Genomic DNA, 15488 nt, shown 5'->3' on the forward strand with positions numbered 1-15488 from the left:
GCAACCTCCGCCTCCCGGGTTCAAGTGATTCTCCTGCCTCAGCCTCCTGAGTAGCTGGGATTGCAGGTACCCGCCACCACGCCCAGCTAATTTTTGTATTTTTAGTAGAGACAGTGTTTCACCATGTTGGCCAGGCTGCTCTTGAGCTCCTGACCTCGTGATCTGCCCGCCTTGGCCTCCCAAAGTGCTAGGATTGCAGGCATGAGCCATGAGCCACCTTGCCTGGCTGAGTATCACTTTTTAAACTTAGAGGTACATTAATTAAAATTAAATTTAAAAAAATTTTTTTTGAGACGGAGTCTCACTCTGTCCCCCAGGCTGGAGTGCAGTGGCGTGATCTCGGCTCACTGCAAGCTCTGCCTCCTGGGTTCACGCCATTCTCCTGCCTCAGCCTCCCGAGTAGCTGGGACTACAGGCGCCCGCCACTACGCCCGGCTAATTTTTTTGTATTTTTAGTAGAGACAGGGTTTCACCGTGTTAACCAGGATGGTCTTGATCTCCTGACCTCGTGATCCGCCCGCCTCGGCCTCCCTAAGTGCTGGGATTACAGGCTTGAGCCACTGCGCCCGGCCAAATTAAATAAAATTTAAAGTGCAGCTCCTCAGCAGCATTAGGCACATGTCAAGGGCTCAACAGCCACACATGGCAGTGGTCTCCATGTTGGAAGGAACAGCTCCTAGCTGCACGGCCTCGTCTGGCATGAGGGTTGGATGGGTGGGAGAGGGAGGCTGGAGTCCAAGAGGCTGGTGGGAGGAATCTGTAGGGGACTAGGGACCAGCTATGGGAGGAAAGGTTAGGGAAACAGACAGGCAGGCCTAGGCCCACCTACAAATGAGGCAGGATCCCCAGCCATGACTCCTACCAAGCTGCACAGGTCTGGCCCACTCGCTCGCAAGGGGAGTGCCCTGTGGTGGGCTCTTCCCACTAAGGAAGTGATGGCCCTCAAACTCTTGGGTAGAGCTCCTGTCCCCTCCTATACTACTACAAAGGGATCTGGGGGTGGTGCATGAGGCTGGATCTGAGCAGGCTCCAGCTCTGTGGGTGGAGTGATCTTCCTCTTATCTCTCCCATCTGTGGGCAGCTGGGGAGTGTGGTGGTTAAGTACATGGCCCTGGTTAAACAACTCTGAAGTCAGATACACCTGGGTTCCAACCCAGCTCAGCCAATTCCTTGCTGTGTGACCTTGGATAAGTCAAGTATCCTCTCTGAGCCTCAGTTTCCTCATCTGGAAAATGAAAACAAATCATGAAATATTGTAAGACTCTAATTTCTAGAGAGTGCCCAGCTCAATCAATCAAATGATCAATTAACAATCGCTGTTCTTCCCACGTAATGTCCTTTTCCTGTTAAAAACAGGAAAGTAAGCCTGGCGTGATGGCCCGCACCTATAATCCCAGCTATAAATATTTGGGAGACTGAGGCAGGAGGATCACTTGAGCCCAGGAGTTTGAATCCAGCCTGGGCAATATAGCGAGACCCCATCTCTACAAAAACATTAAAAACTTAAAAATTATTTCAAAATAGGAAAGTAGATTGGAGAATGTTGGTGATTATTGGAAAGGAGATAGCAGAGATGAGCTGAAGAGGGAGGGAGTTAATTCCCATGGCTGAGGGTTCCCTTCTAGGGCTCCCCCACATCTCCTGCTGGGGATCCTGCCTCATTTTTAGGTGGGCCCAGGCCTGCCTCTGTTTCCCCACCCTTCCCTGCCATAGACTTGGTTAATCAGCAGGTTGGGGAGGGGGACCTGCTGCTCCCAGAGGCCGTAGGTGCTGGAGCACGAGGTAAGAATGGCCAAGAGCTGGCTGGGCGCAGTGTCTCACGCCTGTAATCCCAGCACTTTGGGAGGCCGAGGTGGGCAGATCACCTGAGGTCGGGAGTTTGAGACCAGCCTGACCAACATGGAAAAACCCCATCTCTGCTAAAAATACAAAATTAGCCGGGAATGGTGGCACATGCCTGTAATCCCAGCTACTCAGGAGGCTGAGGCAGGAGAATCGCTTGAACCCGAGTGGCGGAGGTTGCGGTGAGCCGAGATCATGCCTTTGGACTCCAGCCTGGGCAACAAGAGTAAGACTCGGTCTAAAAAAAGAAAAAAAAAGAATGGCCAAGAGCCATCTTCTAGAAATGGGGAGAATGACTCAAACTGAATCAGGAGCAGGTGAGGTCACCCTGGGTACCTGGAGTTACTCAGAGTGACACTAGTACACGCCTGGCAGGAGTGATGGATGAGCTAGGCTCCAGGAAAGCAGGTGGGGCTGGAAACCACCCAAGACAAGGAAATTGTTGGGTTTGAAATTCCAGGTAAGCAGAGTATGGCCTGAGAGCAGCGGCAGAGGCTGAAAGTGGGCTTGGTCTCGGTATTTTTGAGGCTGAGGTAGCTCCAACTCTCTCCCTCTGAGTCAGCACCCCACTTAAGACAGAAATACTGAGATCTGCGACCCCAGCCTCCCCCACAGCAACTCCACAGTCCCCAAACCTTTGCTCCGCTGGGTCCTCCCAAGTATGGTAGCTGACACAGCCCTGAGCAGCCCACTGTCCTCTGCCCTGCCAAGTCTTCTCACTCTTGTCACTTTGTCCTACATCATTTCTTTGTCTGGCACCCCTCCTAGAATTGGTGCCCCAGAGGTGGGAAAAACCTACCCTGCTCACTGCTCTATCTCCTGGGCTTAGCTCAGACTCTGGCATACGTGAGTGCTTAGTAGAAACTTGATGGGGTATTAAAATTGAGACCTGGGTGGGTTCTCACATTAAATTTCTAACACTCCTTAGGTGGCTTGGGCCCACCCCTCTGAGCCCTGTTTCCACATCTGTAAAGTAGCAAACCATCGCCATGAAGAACAGGGAAGAACCAGGTCAGCAGGCAGGGCGGATGAAGCATCCAGCCAGTTCTAGGAAGTTTCCGATGGCTAATCCTTCAGATGCAGCTTGTAAGCAGGTCAAATACAGAATAGGAAACTGAGGCGCAACGAAGTCATGCTTAGAAGTCTGTCCAGGGAGACCAGTCAAGGCCTCCCCCACACCCTGCAAGCCCTTCTAGGAGCTCTGGTTAAGTCACTCTCGTTCAATCTCCCTGAGAGGTACCATCCACAGGTCCTGAAGTGTGTGGCCTGTCCCTGCTGTGTGAGGTGGCCCTCCCCATTCTGCTTCCTCTTTGAGGTGGCCTGGCTCCTGGTGGTAGGCAAGTGCTAGAAGACAGCAGAGATGGCTGCCTCTGGTGTTGGGAGCTGGAGTCAAAGAGCCAGAGGGGTGTGTGTGTGTGTGTGTGTGTGTGTGTGTGTGTGTATGTTCATTATCCATAAGTACCCACTTGGCCCTCACTATACTCCAAGAGGGAGGCAGTCCAGCCTAGTGGTGAGATGGTGAGATGCTCCCACTATGGAGTCAGGCTGGAGTTGGCCTTGGGGCAGTCCTTCCTTTTTTTTTTTTTTTTTTTTTTTTTTTGAGACGTAGTCTTGCTCTGTAGCCCAGGCTGGAGTGCAATGGCGTGATCTTGGCTCACTGCAACCTCTGCCTCTCGGGTCCCGGTTCAAGCAATTCTCCTGCCTCAGCCTCCCAAGTAGCTTGGACTACAGGCGCCCACCACCACACCCAGCTAATTTTTGTATTTTTAGTAGAGATGGGGTTTCACCATGTTGGCCAGGCTGGTCTCGAACTCCTGACCTCAGGTGATCTGCCCGCCTTGGCCTCCCAAAGTGCTGGGAGTACAGGCCTGAGCCACCGCGCCCGGCCTGGGGCAGTCCTTCCTAAGCCCCAGTCTCCTACCTAAAAAAGATGGTTGTGAGGGTGTGGCATGCTCAGCACTCAGCACAGAGCCTTACTCACCATTAACACTCAACAAACAGCATGTGTTGTTAGTTTTTGTTTTGAGACAGTCTCACTCTGTAGCCCAGGCTAGAGTGCAATCATGGATCACTGCAGCCTTGATCTCCTGGGCTCAAGTGATCCTCCCACCTCAGTCTCCCAAAGAGCTGGGATTACAGGCATAAGCCACCTTGCCCCGCCAGTTTTTAGCCTGTCAGCTCTTTGAGGGACACTTGTTATGGTCATACCCACAGCTTTGACCCTTACCAGGTGGTCAGGTGGATGAATGAATGAGTAGAAAGAAGGAAGAGAAGGCAGGAGGGAGAAGAGGAAGAATGAAGGAAGGGTTGAGTTTGTTCTGGAAGCTCCCAGCTTCCATCCGCACCACACTCTCCCTCTGTCCCCAGGACACCAGGGAACTGACTCAAGGCTCTCCTCTTACCAGGTGCTGTGTGGGGTCCAGGGAGAAGAGCCCATTTGAAATGGGGCACTGGTCTAAACTCTGGACCTGCTGCTCACTATTGACTGAACTTAGCCACTTAAATATTCTCCTCTATAAAATGGGAGTGACCATAGCAACTACCTCGCTGAATTGTAGGGAGACCCAAAAAATGTATATGAATACATTTGTCAACTAAAGAGTGTTAGGGATTATCTCAGTGGAGGGATAGGCAGTGCAGGCTCTGGAACCAGACTTCTTGTGTTCACATCCCTGCTCCACTGCTTGGAGACCTTTGGCAAGGTCCTTAACTCCTCTGGACCTCAGTTTTCTCATCTGTAAAACAGGGATTATACTAGTTCCTACCTCACAGAGTTGTGAAGATTAAATGAGATAATGCATGAAAGGCTTTTCAATAAGAGCAGGGCACACATTAGGCATGATGTCCATGATCAAGTGCCTAATATGTGCCTGCTCTCAGGAAGGATGCTGTGAACTACTTCACACTAAAGTGTAAATGAATGATAAGATCTACTATGCTCCACTCATGCCTGTAATCCTAGCACTTTGGGAGGCCGAAGCAAGTGGATCACCTGAGGTCAGGAGTTCGAGACCAGCCTGGCTAACATGGCAAAACTCTGTCTCTACTAAAATACAAAAGTTAGCCAGGTGGGGTGGCACATGCCTGTAATCCTAGCTATTCAGGAGGCTGAGGCAGAACTGCTTGAACCCAGGGGGTGGAGGTTGCAGTGGGCCGTGATTGTGCCACTTCATTCTGGCCTGGGCGACAAGAGTGAAACTCTGTCTCAAAAAAAAAAAGAAATGATCTACTATACTCTCTCTCAGAGGCATATGAATCGTAACAGGAATTAAAGGAGTGAAACCCCATCTAATTATGGGATTTTAAAAAGTAAGGCATACAGGGGTAGGTAAGGTCCTTCCTAGGGTCCCTCAAAATCACGCCTGCTGCCCACTGCACAAATCCTGCCTGGTCCCAGAGAGGGACCACACACAGAGGAAGGGAGAACATAGTGCCAGTCCCTGAGGAAGCTCCCCTCTGCTGGAGAAACGAGAGGCAACTGGATCCCCCAATACTGCATCACTCCAGCTAAACATGGAGGGCCTTCGGAGGCATGGCAGGCAGTCGCCCGGGCTACAGCAACCAGAAGGGCTTCAAGGACCCTCCAGGGAGCAACAGGAGCCAGGGTGAGGGGGTGGGGAGGGGGATGGGCACTGGATGTGATGAGGACTGACTTGGGACGACTGACATGGGACCAGCGAGGAAGGGGTGGGCACTCTCCCAGGGCAAGACCCTCACTTTCCAATCCGTTTCCCCCTGACTGGCACCTGTAGTACAAGGTGCAGAGGGGGTCAGGAGGTGGGTTCTGAAGCCCTGGCATTGGGGTGTTACCAATGGGCACCCATTCAATATCTCTTCAGTTCCTCCTTTGGAGAAACCCTCTTCCCTCCTTCCTTTTCAGCCCATTGGAGCAGGTGAGGCTGCAGGTGTGGGGCCTGTGAACAGATTTGCCAATCAACACAGGGTTATTCCTGCCTTGCCCCTGGTATCTGTGTGGTCACATGACCCCAACTGTCCAGTTACAGTGAAACCCGGGACATGTGTCACAATTCCCAAGGACAGAGCCTCTTTCTACTCAACTGGAACTTGGGATGATGTGCCCCTGCAGCTGCAGCAGGTGCTCATGGAGCCCAAACACTTCCCAAGACAGCAAAGGCAAAGTACAAACAAGTACAAAGACTCTGGGAAATGAGTCTTCATGACGTCGTGGTGTCGCCAGATCGAGTCATGCCTGGGGTTCTCAGTTTCCTGAGCCAGTAGATTCCCTTTTTAGCATAAATCAGTTTGAGTCAGGTTTTCTGGCATTTGCATCATTAAGAGTCTGACATTCATATGGTGAATTTTCTTTTCTTTTTTTTCTTTTTTTTTTTTTGAGATGGAGTTTCGCTCTTGTTGCCCAGGCTGGAGTGCAATGGTGCGATCTCGGCTCACCGCAACCTCTGCCTTCTCCTGGGTTCAAGCGATTCTTCTGCCTCAGCCTCCTGAGTAGCTGGGATTATAGGCATGCGCCACCATGACCGGCTACTTTTGTATTTTTAGTAGAGACGGGGTTTTTTCCATGTTGGTCAGGCTGGTCTCAAACTCCGGACCTCAGGTGATCTGCCCGCCTCGGCCTCCTAAAGTGCTGGGATTACAGGCGTGAGCCACCGCGCCCGGCCATGGGTCTGTTCTTAAATGGGGCTTCCAGAGGGAACCTCAGCCTGTTTTGAAATAACAAGGATCCAGGCACGGTGGCTCACGCCTATAATCCCAGGACTTTGGGAGGCTGAGGCGGGCGGATCACGAGGTCAGTAGTTTGAGACCAGCCTGACCAACATGGAGAAACCCCATCTCTACTAAAAATACAAAATTAGCCGGGTGTGGTGGCGCATGCCTGTAATCCCAGCTACTCAGGAGGCTGAGGCAGGAGAATTGCTTGAACCCGGGAGGCGGAGGTTGCGGTAAGCCGAGATCGCGCCATTGCACTCCAGCCTGGGAAACAAGAGCGAAACTCCATCTCAAAAAAAGAAAAGAAAAGAAGAGAAAGGACAATAAGGAGTTAGAAACACTTTCTCCCTTCCCTCCTTCCCGAGGGGCGGGCTCCATCTTCTTTATTTTTTATTTTTAGAGAAGAGGTCTCCCTATCTTGCCCAGGCTGGTCTCAAACTCCTGGTCTCAAGCGATCCTCCGGCCTCGGCCTCCCAAAGTGCTGGGTTTAAGACGTGAGCCACCGCGCCCTGCCTCCATGTTCTTTAATCTGCTGTCCCTGGCCCAGGGACCTCCGCAGATAAAGCTCGGTTTCCCCTTTCTGACGCTGTTACCAGTTTGCGGCGGTTAACCCCCCAGAGAGAGCCTGACGCAGATTTGCTGCAGGAAACCACCGAGTCTCACGGCTTGGCACGAACTCTTCCTTCCGGGCCGGCCAGGATGCCTGAGCGTGGGGGTGGGCAGGGCACCTCCTACTTCCCCCCGCAGATAACCACCAACCCGGCCACATCATTCTCACATCTGGGAACTGAGCTCACTCGAGGCTTTTCTCACGTAGCCTCCTTTGAACCTGTTTCCTCATCTGTAAAATGGGGCTAAGGATAGCATCCACCTATTTCAGGGTCGTTTTGAGGGAATCCTGGAGAGAAAACTAGGGTTTTCAGCAAAAGGATCGGCACAAAGTAGATGTTCGCCGCTCCCCTCCCTCCTTCCCGCTCCCCCGGGCAGGAAGGCTCGCGTGCGCGAGGCCACAGCGCAAGCGGGTGCAGAGCAGGATTCGAACAGGGTTCCATGCAACTCCGTGCCCAGGGTCCTACCACCGCCTGAGCTCAGCGGTCTTCAGCCAGCGGGGCCCTTCCACCCCCTTCCTTAATAGTTTTCCTCCTCCGCCTCCTGCACGGCCTCCGCCTCCGCCTGACCGTCCTCGGAAACCTCCCAGCCGCAGCCCGGCCCTCCCCAGCGGCCTGAGTGGCCTCCTCCCGCGGCGCCCCCCAGCTCCGCACCTCCCCAGCCCCGCCCGAGGCGCGCCCAGCGAGCGTGACCCCGACCCAGGGCCACGGCTGCGCCCGTAGGATCGCGGGCGCGCGGGTCTCCATGAGGGACTGGGAGAGATGCGTCACCCGCTAATCCCTCAACTGGGTCGCACCCGGTCTGCCTTGGTTGGTCCCTTCTGATGGCGGAGGCGGGACCTCGACTTGGTGGCCAATGAGGAGCCTCGTGGGGGTGCTCTCGGCTGCCATGGCAACGGAGGGGCCGCCCGCTTCCCCGCGGGGCGAGGCCGGCTCTCCCAGGACTGGCCACATTGCAGTCACGCGCTGTGGCCCCAGTCCTGTTAGCATGAGGTGGGGGTCAGAAGTTGAGGAACAACTCGGACCTAAAGCCTTGACAATTGCCAACAGTGTAGACAAGTCCCAGCATGCCCAAAATTTATAAGAGAAGGCTGCCTGGAAGAGGGACACGATGAGGAGGGTCTGCTGAAACGGACAAAGAAACCCAGTTCAGTGCAGTGGAGTGGACATGGCACGGGCAGGGCACGGAGTGGGGTCGGTGCTTAGTAAGCGGATTAGGGTTTCCAAGCCAAGACCCACCCAGGGCAGGATGGGGAACCAAGGTGAGCAGGTGCGCTGAATTGTGGGTCTCACACTGTCCTTCAGTGTCCCGCAGGAAGAGAGAGCTAAGGATCACCAGGGTCATTCCCCTGCCTCAGGCAGCCTGCACTCCACCTTAGGTACAGTCATGTCCGGTCTTCAGCATTCATTAACCTCGTATTCTTCCCAGGAAGAGGAAGGTGACCAGGTTCATTGTCCCCATTTCATAAATGAGAAAACTGATGCCTGCCTGCTAAAGTAGCTCACCCTTGGGCCGTGGGGCCTGGCATTGGGCCCAAGCGGGGCCCTTCCAGGGAAGCCCCAGCCCGCAGTTCTGACGTTGCCCACCCTTGCTGATGGTGCAGGGATGTCAGGGGCAACTGAGCCCCATGTTTAACGAGGCAGGTGAGCTGGGGTCAGAACCCTGCCCTGGCCTCTGATGGCCCTGGGTGGGGATGTGTCTAACTCCCTCCTCAGTCACTCTGGGAGGGAGTCCAGTGTTGCCCCACGCTCGTGGCCTCCAGAAGCCCACAGTCTAATGGGGAGACAGACCCTACAGGGACCACATGATGTGAGAAATGCTGCAGGGGTGACGTGGACAAAGCACAGGGGAGCACAGGAGAAGGGGTGCCTGAGTCGGCCCAGGGAAGTCAGGGAAGGCCTCACAGCGGAGGCAACCCCAACACAAGATGCAGAGTGCTTGCTAGGCAGCCAAGCAAGGGGACGGTCGCCATCCCAGGCAGAGGGAGCAAAGGCCTAGAGGCCACCTGTCTGCAAAGCCTAGAGGCATCCCTGAGAGTGGCTCCGAAGAACAAGTCTAGGAGTGTGGACTACAACTTTAGGCAAGGCCCAGGCTGCAAAGTGAATACCAAAGACAGGGCTGTGTGCTCCACAGTTGGGTGCTTTCAGCCCCCTTCTGAATCAGCAGGCACCCACATACACTTTTCTCTAACTGGCAGATTCACAGAACCCCAAGAACCTTTCTCAGGACCCCACTTTGAGAAGTATTGGATTAGAAGTTAACACTGTCCGGCTCACAGTGGCTCACGCCTGTAATCCCAGCACTTTGGGAGGCTGAGGAGGGCGGATCTCTTGAGGTCAGGAGTTCAAGACCAGCCTGGCCAATATGGTAAAACCCCATCTCTACTAAAAATCCAAAAATTAGCCGGGTGTTGTGGCACACGCCTGTAGTCCCAGCTACTCGGGAGGCCAAGGCACGAGAATCGCTTCAACTGTTAGGCAGAAGTTGCAGTGGGCCAAGATCACGCCACTGCACTCCAGCCTGGCTGATGGAGTGAGACTCTGTCTTGAAAAAAAAAAAAAAAAAAAAGGCCGGGCACAGTGGCTTACATCTGTAATCCCAGCACTTTGGGAGGCTGAGGTGGGTGGATCACCCGAGGTCAGCAGTTCGAGACCGGCGTGGCCAACGTGGCGAAACCCTGCCTCTACTAAAAATACAAAAAAAAAAATTAGCTGGGCCCGTGGTGGTGTGCGCCTGTAATCCCCGCACTTGTGGAGGCTGAGGCAGGCGGATCACTTGAGATCAGGAATTTGAGACCAGCCTGGCCAACGTGGTGAAACCCCATCTCTACTAAAAATATGAAACTTAGTCCAGCGTGGTGGTGGGCGCCTGTAATCCCAGCTACTTGGGAGGCTGAGGCAAGAGAATCACTTGAACCCAGGAGGCAGAGGTTGCAGTGAGTTGAGATCGTACCATTGTACTCCAGCCTGGGCGACAGAGCGAGACTCTGTCTCCAAAAAAAAAAAAAAAAAAAAAAAGGAAGTTAACACTGTCAAGTACACCTACATATAACTGCATGGATTATTCCCACAGGTGTAACGTTGAGAGAATGAGGCCCGACACTGAGAGTCATTCTGAGAGGTGACAGCATGCTGGCAGTCCTCACAGCCCTCGCTCGCTCTCGGCACCTCCTCTGCCTGGGCTCCCACTTTGGCGGCACTTGAGCCCTTCAGCCTGCCGCTGCACTGTGGGAGCCCCTTTCTGGGCTGGCCAAGGCCAGAGCCGGCTCCCTCAGCTTGCAGGGAGGTGTGGAGGGAGAGGCGCCGGTGGCAACCGGGTCTGCGCGCGGTGCTTGTGGGCCAGCGCGAGTTCCCGGTGGGCGTGGGCTCGGCGGGCCCCGCATTAGGAGCGGCCTCGGGCAATGGGGGGCTTAGCACCCGGGCCAGCGGCTGCGGAGGGTGTACTCGGTCCTCCAGCACTGCCGGCCCACCCAGCAGTGCCGGCCCACTGCGCTCGATTTCTTGCCGGGCCTTAGCTGCCTCCCCGCGGGGCAGGGCTCGGGACCTGCATCCCGCCATGCCTGAGCCTCCCCCCTCTCCGTGGGCTCCTGTGCGGCCCGAGCCTCCCCGATGAGCGCCGCCCCCTGCTCCACGGCGCCCAGTCCCATCGACCACCCAAGGGCTGAGAAGTGCGGGCGCACGGCGCGGGACTGGCAAGCAGCTCTACCTGCGGCCCTGGTGCGGGATCCACTGGGTGAAGCCAGCTGGGCTCCTGAGTCTGGTGGGGACTTGGAGAACCTTTATGTCTAGCTAGGGGATTGTAAATACACCAAATCAGCACTCTGTATCTAACTCAAGGTTTGTAAGCACACCAATCAGCACCCTGTGTCTAGCTCAAGGTTTGTGAAGGCACCAATGGACACTCTGTATCTAGCTACTCTGGTGGGGACTTGGAGAACCTGTATGTCTAGCTAAGGGATTGTAAATACACCAATCGGCACTCTGTATCTAGCTCATGGTTTGTAAACACACCAATCAGCACGCTGTGTCTAGCTCAGGGTTTGCGAATGCACCAATGGACACTGTAGCTACTCTGGTGGGGACTTGGAGAACCTCTGTGTGGACACTCTGTATCTAGCTAATCTAGTGGGGAGGTGGAGAACCTTTGTGTTTAGCTCAGGGATTGTAAACGCACCAATCAGCGCCCTGTCAAAACAGACCACTCGGCTCTCTGTAAAATGGACCAATCAGCAGGATGTGGGTGGGGCCAGATAAGAGAATAAAAGCAGGCTGCCCGAGCCAGCCGTGGCAACCTGCTGGGGTCCCCTTCCATACTGTGGAAGCTTTGTTCGTTTGCTCTTTGCAATACATTTTTTGCTTCTGCTCACTCTTTGGGTCCACACTGCCTTTATGAGCTGTAAAACTCACTGGGAAGATCTGCAGCTTCACTCCTGAGCCAGCGAGACCAGGAACCCACGGGGAGAAATGAACAACTCCAGGCGCCCCACCTTAAGAGTTGTTAACACTCACCGTGAAGGTCCGCAGCTTCACTCCTGAGCCAGCGAGACAACGAACCCCATTAGAAAAAAGAAACTCCGAACACATCCGAACATCAGAAGGAACAAACTCCGGACACACCGCCTTTAAGAACTGCAACACTCACCGCGAGGATCCACGGCTTCGTTCCTTGAAGTCAGTGAGACCAAGAACCCACCAATTCCGGACACAATTCTGTATGGTCTAGTTATATGAAATTCAAAACTGGGCCAAAGTGATCTATGGTCAGGGGACTGGTTACCTTTCTGGAGTGTGGTGACTGGAAGGTTGCCAGGAGGAGAGACTCCGGGGCGGGCGGGGAGATGGGGGCAATAATGTCTGTTTCTTGAGCTGAGTGTTGGCTTTGCAGGTGCATTCTCTTCTTTTTTTTTTTTTTTTTTTGAGACAGAGTCTCGCTCTGTCACCCAGGCTGGAGTGCAGTGGCGTGATCTCAGCTCAACTGCAACCTCCGCCTCTCAGGTTCAAGCGATTCTCCTGCCTCAGCCTCCTGAGTAGCTGGGATTACAGGCACGTGCCATCACATCTGGCTGATTTTTGTATTTTTAGTAGAGACAAGGTTTTACCTTGTTGTTCAGGCTGGTGTCAAACTCCTGACCTCATGTTCCACCTGCCTCAGTGTCCCAAAGTCCTGGGATTACAGGCGTGAGCCACGGTTCCCAGCCAGCAGGTGCATTCTCTTTGTGAAAATTCATCCAGCTGTTGCTGGGCGTAGTGGTTCACACCTGTAATCCCAGTACTTTGGAAGGCTGAGGCAGGCAGATCACTTGAGGTCAGGAGTTCGAGACCAGCCTGGCCAACATGGTGAAACCCCGTCTCTACTAAGAATACAAAAATTAGCTGGTCGTGGTGGTGGGTGCCTGTAATCCCAGCCACTTGGGAGGCTGAGACAGGAGACTCGCTTAAACTCAGGAGGCAGAGGTTGCAGTGAGCTGAGATCGTGCCACTGCACTCCAGCCTGAGCAAGAGTGAGACTGAGACTCCATCTCAAAAAAAAAGAAAATAAAAAGAAAATTTATCCAGCTGTAACTTAAGATGCATGTGTTTTTCTGTACGTAGCTTCTGCTTCAATTTTTGTAAAAAAAGTTAACTATTTCTCATAAACATCTGTGCATATGTAGACACTAAAATTCTGCAATCACATTATCAGCTATAAGCCAAGAATCCAGATGATGTGGAATATGTTTATATTAATTTTTTTTTGAGATGGAGTTTTGCTCTGTTGTCTAGGCTGGAGTGCAGTGGCGTGACCTCAGTTCACTGCAACATCCGTCTCCAGGGTTCAAACAATTCTCCTGCCTCAACCTCCCGAGTAGCTGGGATTACAGGGGTGTGCCACCACACCCGGCTAATTTTGTGTTTTTGTAGAGATGGGGTTTGACCACATTGGCCATGCTGACCAATGTCTTGAACTCCTGACCTCAGTTGATCCGCCCGCCTCGGCCTCCCAAAGTGCTGAGATTACAGGTGTGAGCCACCGTGCCCGGCCTATATTAATTTTTTAAAAGACTATTCCAAAATGAAAACAAACATTTAAAAATATCAGAGAGAGCTTTCAGACTTCAGAGAAGCCGTCATCTTAGACCTCAGGGTTTGAGACACCCTGGCTCAAGGGGGAGTATTACAATGCTCAGTGCTGGGGTGGTCTGGTGGGTAAATGAGGAGCCTGGAGCTTCTTCCTGGGGCACAAACCTCAGTGGAAGTCCCTGATCCTGGGAGGCAGAGGTGACCGTTTCCCCGGGCCCCGCTGAGTGTTAGACACAGCTCCAGCACAGGCAGGGTTGCATGAGGGACTGGCCCGAGTCCCCGTGGGTCTCCCTGGCTCAGCTGTGAGCTGCTTAAGCAGGTGCCCCCTTCACTCACCTGTATTCCTGGGGTCCAGCAAGGGTCTTGGCACACAGGGCATCTGAGAGAACATTTTCTGCCAGGCCTCTTTGCCCAGTCCCACACTGAGAGAGGAGAAGGGATTCTGTTTGGGATTCTGTGAGTTTCCTGTCACTGGGTGAGCTGCTCAACCTGGGCTGACAGACCACCAATGGGCGACGTGGCAGGGGGAATTCAAGGTGGGGTTAAAGTTGTCCAATCCCCCAGCATGGGAGAGCTGAGTGTAGCAGGGGTGCTGAATCTTGGGGGCCATGAATATGAACAGGAAGCCCAGCACTGCGTGCCCACTGGCTTTGCTGGAGCTGGAGACAGCCCAGCTCTACACAACAGACTGTTCCAGAACCCAGAGAGGGCTGCACCTGCTCAGCCACTCTACAGTCCTGCTCCACACTGCCCTGTTGTCTTCCTGCTTCCTCTAGGGTCCTTGCCTCTCATCCCATTCCTTACTCAGCCTCTCTTGCCCACTCTTGGGAAGCAGCCTCCTGTTTTTTAGCTTTGCCATCCCCACTCTGCCTGCGTTTCTCAAGCCACCTTCATGATTCCTGTCCCAGCCTCAGAGCTACCTGGAGGGCTATGCACTCAATATTTTTTCTTTTTTTTGAGACGGAGTCTTGCACTGTTGCCCAGGCTGGAGTGCAATGGTGTGATATTGGTTCACTGCAACCTCTGCCTCCTGGGTTCAAGCAATTCTCCTGCCTCAGCCTCCCTAGTAGCTGGGATTACAGGTGCCTGTCACCATGCCCAGCTAATTTTTTGTATTTTTAGTAGAGATGGGGTTTCACTATATTGGCCAGACTGGTCTCGAACTCCTGAACTCGTGATCCACCCGCCTCGGCCTCCCAAAGTGCTGGGATTACAGGCGTGAGCCACCGCACCCGGCAAATATTTTTTCTTTAAAACAATGTTAGGAGGCCGGGCGCGGTGGCTCACGCCTGTAATCCCAGCACTTTGGGAGGCTGAGGCAGGCGGACCACAAGGTCAGGAGATCGAGACCATCCTGGCTAACACCATGAAACCCCATCTCTACTAAAAATATACAACAAATTAGCCGGGCGTGGCGGCATGCGCCTGTAGTCCCAGCTGCTGGGGAGGCTGAGGCAGGAGAATGGCGTGAACCTGGGAGGCGGAGCTTGCAGTGAGCTGAGATCGCACCACTGCACTCCAGCCTGGGCGACAGAGCGACACTCCGTCTTAAAAAAAAGAAAAACAAAAAAAACAAACAAAAAACAATGTTAGGTTGCTTTTTTGTGGGGGAGGGGAGATGGAGTCTCACTCTATCGCCCAGGCTGGAGTGCAGTGGTGCGATCCAGGCTCACTGCAACCTCCGCCCACCCGCACCCCCATGTTCAAGTGATTATCCTGCTTCAGCCTCCTCAGTAGCTGGGATTGCAGGCACGTGTCACCACCACCAGCTAATGTTTTTTGTTTGTTTGTTTGAGTAGAGACAGCATTTCACTAAGTTAGGCAGGCTGGTTTCAAACTCCTGACCTCAAGTAATCTGCCCACCTCGGCCTCCCAAAGTGCTGGGATTACAGGCATGAGCCACCGCGCCCAGTCACATCACATTAAATTTTAATTAGAAATACTTGCTCTTGTATCACCTAAAATTATCTTGCATAGCACCACATTGGAAACTGTCTTATACGATGGTTCAGGGAGAAGGTGGTGCTTATTTATGAATAGTAATGATAGTCTCAGGTTAGCAGCGAGCTTTATGCCTCATCCACACATTCATGGTTTCATTGGATCCTCTCAGTTCCTGCACTATGAGCATCATTGGTCTCACTTTACAGACAAGGAAACTAAGACTAAAAGGGTAGTCGTGCCTTGCCTAGGATCACACAGCAAGTTAAGATTTTAATCAACATTCAAGGCACTGATGACTCCAGACCTAGATGAAGGCAAGAAGCACGCAGTACTTTCCTGTCTCCTGCC

General features: G+C 53.3%; 7 annotated features.

Moving 5' to 3' along the window:
- Positions 2061–2200: an enhancer, noted in NCBI's record as "active region_3537". NCBI's record gives its function as "activates an Ori minimal core promoter by ATAC-STARR-seq in GM12878 lymphoblastoid cells {active_cell/tissue: GM12878}" and the evidence as "EXISTENCE:reporter gene assay evidence [ECO:0000049][PMID:35858748]".
- Positions 2401–2450: a silencer, noted in NCBI's record as "silent region_2471". NCBI's record gives its function as "represses an Ori minimal core promoter by ATAC-STARR-seq in GM12878 lymphoblastoid cells {active_cell/tissue: GM12878}" and the evidence as "EXISTENCE:reporter gene assay evidence [ECO:0000049][PMID:35858748]".
- Positions 5694–5988: an enhancer, noted in NCBI's record as "tiled region #1217; HepG2 Activating DNase unmatched - State 8:EnhW". NCBI's record gives its function as "activates a minimal TATA promoter and a strong SV40 promoter by Sharpr-MPRA in HepG2 cells {active_cell/tissue: HepG2}" and the evidence as "EXISTENCE:reporter gene assay evidence [ECO:0000049][PMID:27701403]".
- Positions 6993–7292: an enhancer, noted in NCBI's record as "active region_3538". NCBI's record gives its function as "activates an Ori minimal core promoter by ATAC-STARR-seq in GM12878 lymphoblastoid cells {active_cell/tissue: GM12878}" and the evidence as "EXISTENCE:reporter gene assay evidence [ECO:0000049][PMID:35858748]".
- Positions 7653–7922: a silencer, noted in NCBI's record as "silent region_2472". NCBI's record gives its function as "represses an Ori minimal core promoter by ATAC-STARR-seq in GM12878 lymphoblastoid cells {active_cell/tissue: GM12878}" and the evidence as "EXISTENCE:reporter gene assay evidence [ECO:0000049][PMID:35858748]".
- Positions 7944–8600: an enhancer, noted in NCBI's record as "OCT4-NANOG-H3K27ac-H3K4me1 hESC enhancer chr10:74057879-74058535 (GRCh37/hg19 assembly coordinates)". NCBI's record gives its function as "activates a minimal SCP1, AML or CMV promoter by ChIP-STARR-seq in naive H9 embryonic stem cells {active_cell/tissue: H9 hESC(naive)}" and the evidence as "EXISTENCE:reporter gene assay evidence [ECO:0000049][PMID:30033119]".
- Positions 8213–8302: an enhancer, noted in NCBI's record as "active region_3539". NCBI's record gives its function as "activates an Ori minimal core promoter by ATAC-STARR-seq in GM12878 lymphoblastoid cells {active_cell/tissue: GM12878}" and the evidence as "EXISTENCE:reporter gene assay evidence [ECO:0000049][PMID:35858748]".

This window comes from Homo sapiens, chromosome 10 (assembly GCF_000001405.40).
Source record: "Homo sapiens chromosome 10, GRCh38.p14 Primary Assembly".
NCBI classification, from domain to species: domain Eukaryota; kingdom Metazoa; phylum Chordata; class Mammalia; order Primates; family Hominidae; genus Homo; species Homo sapiens.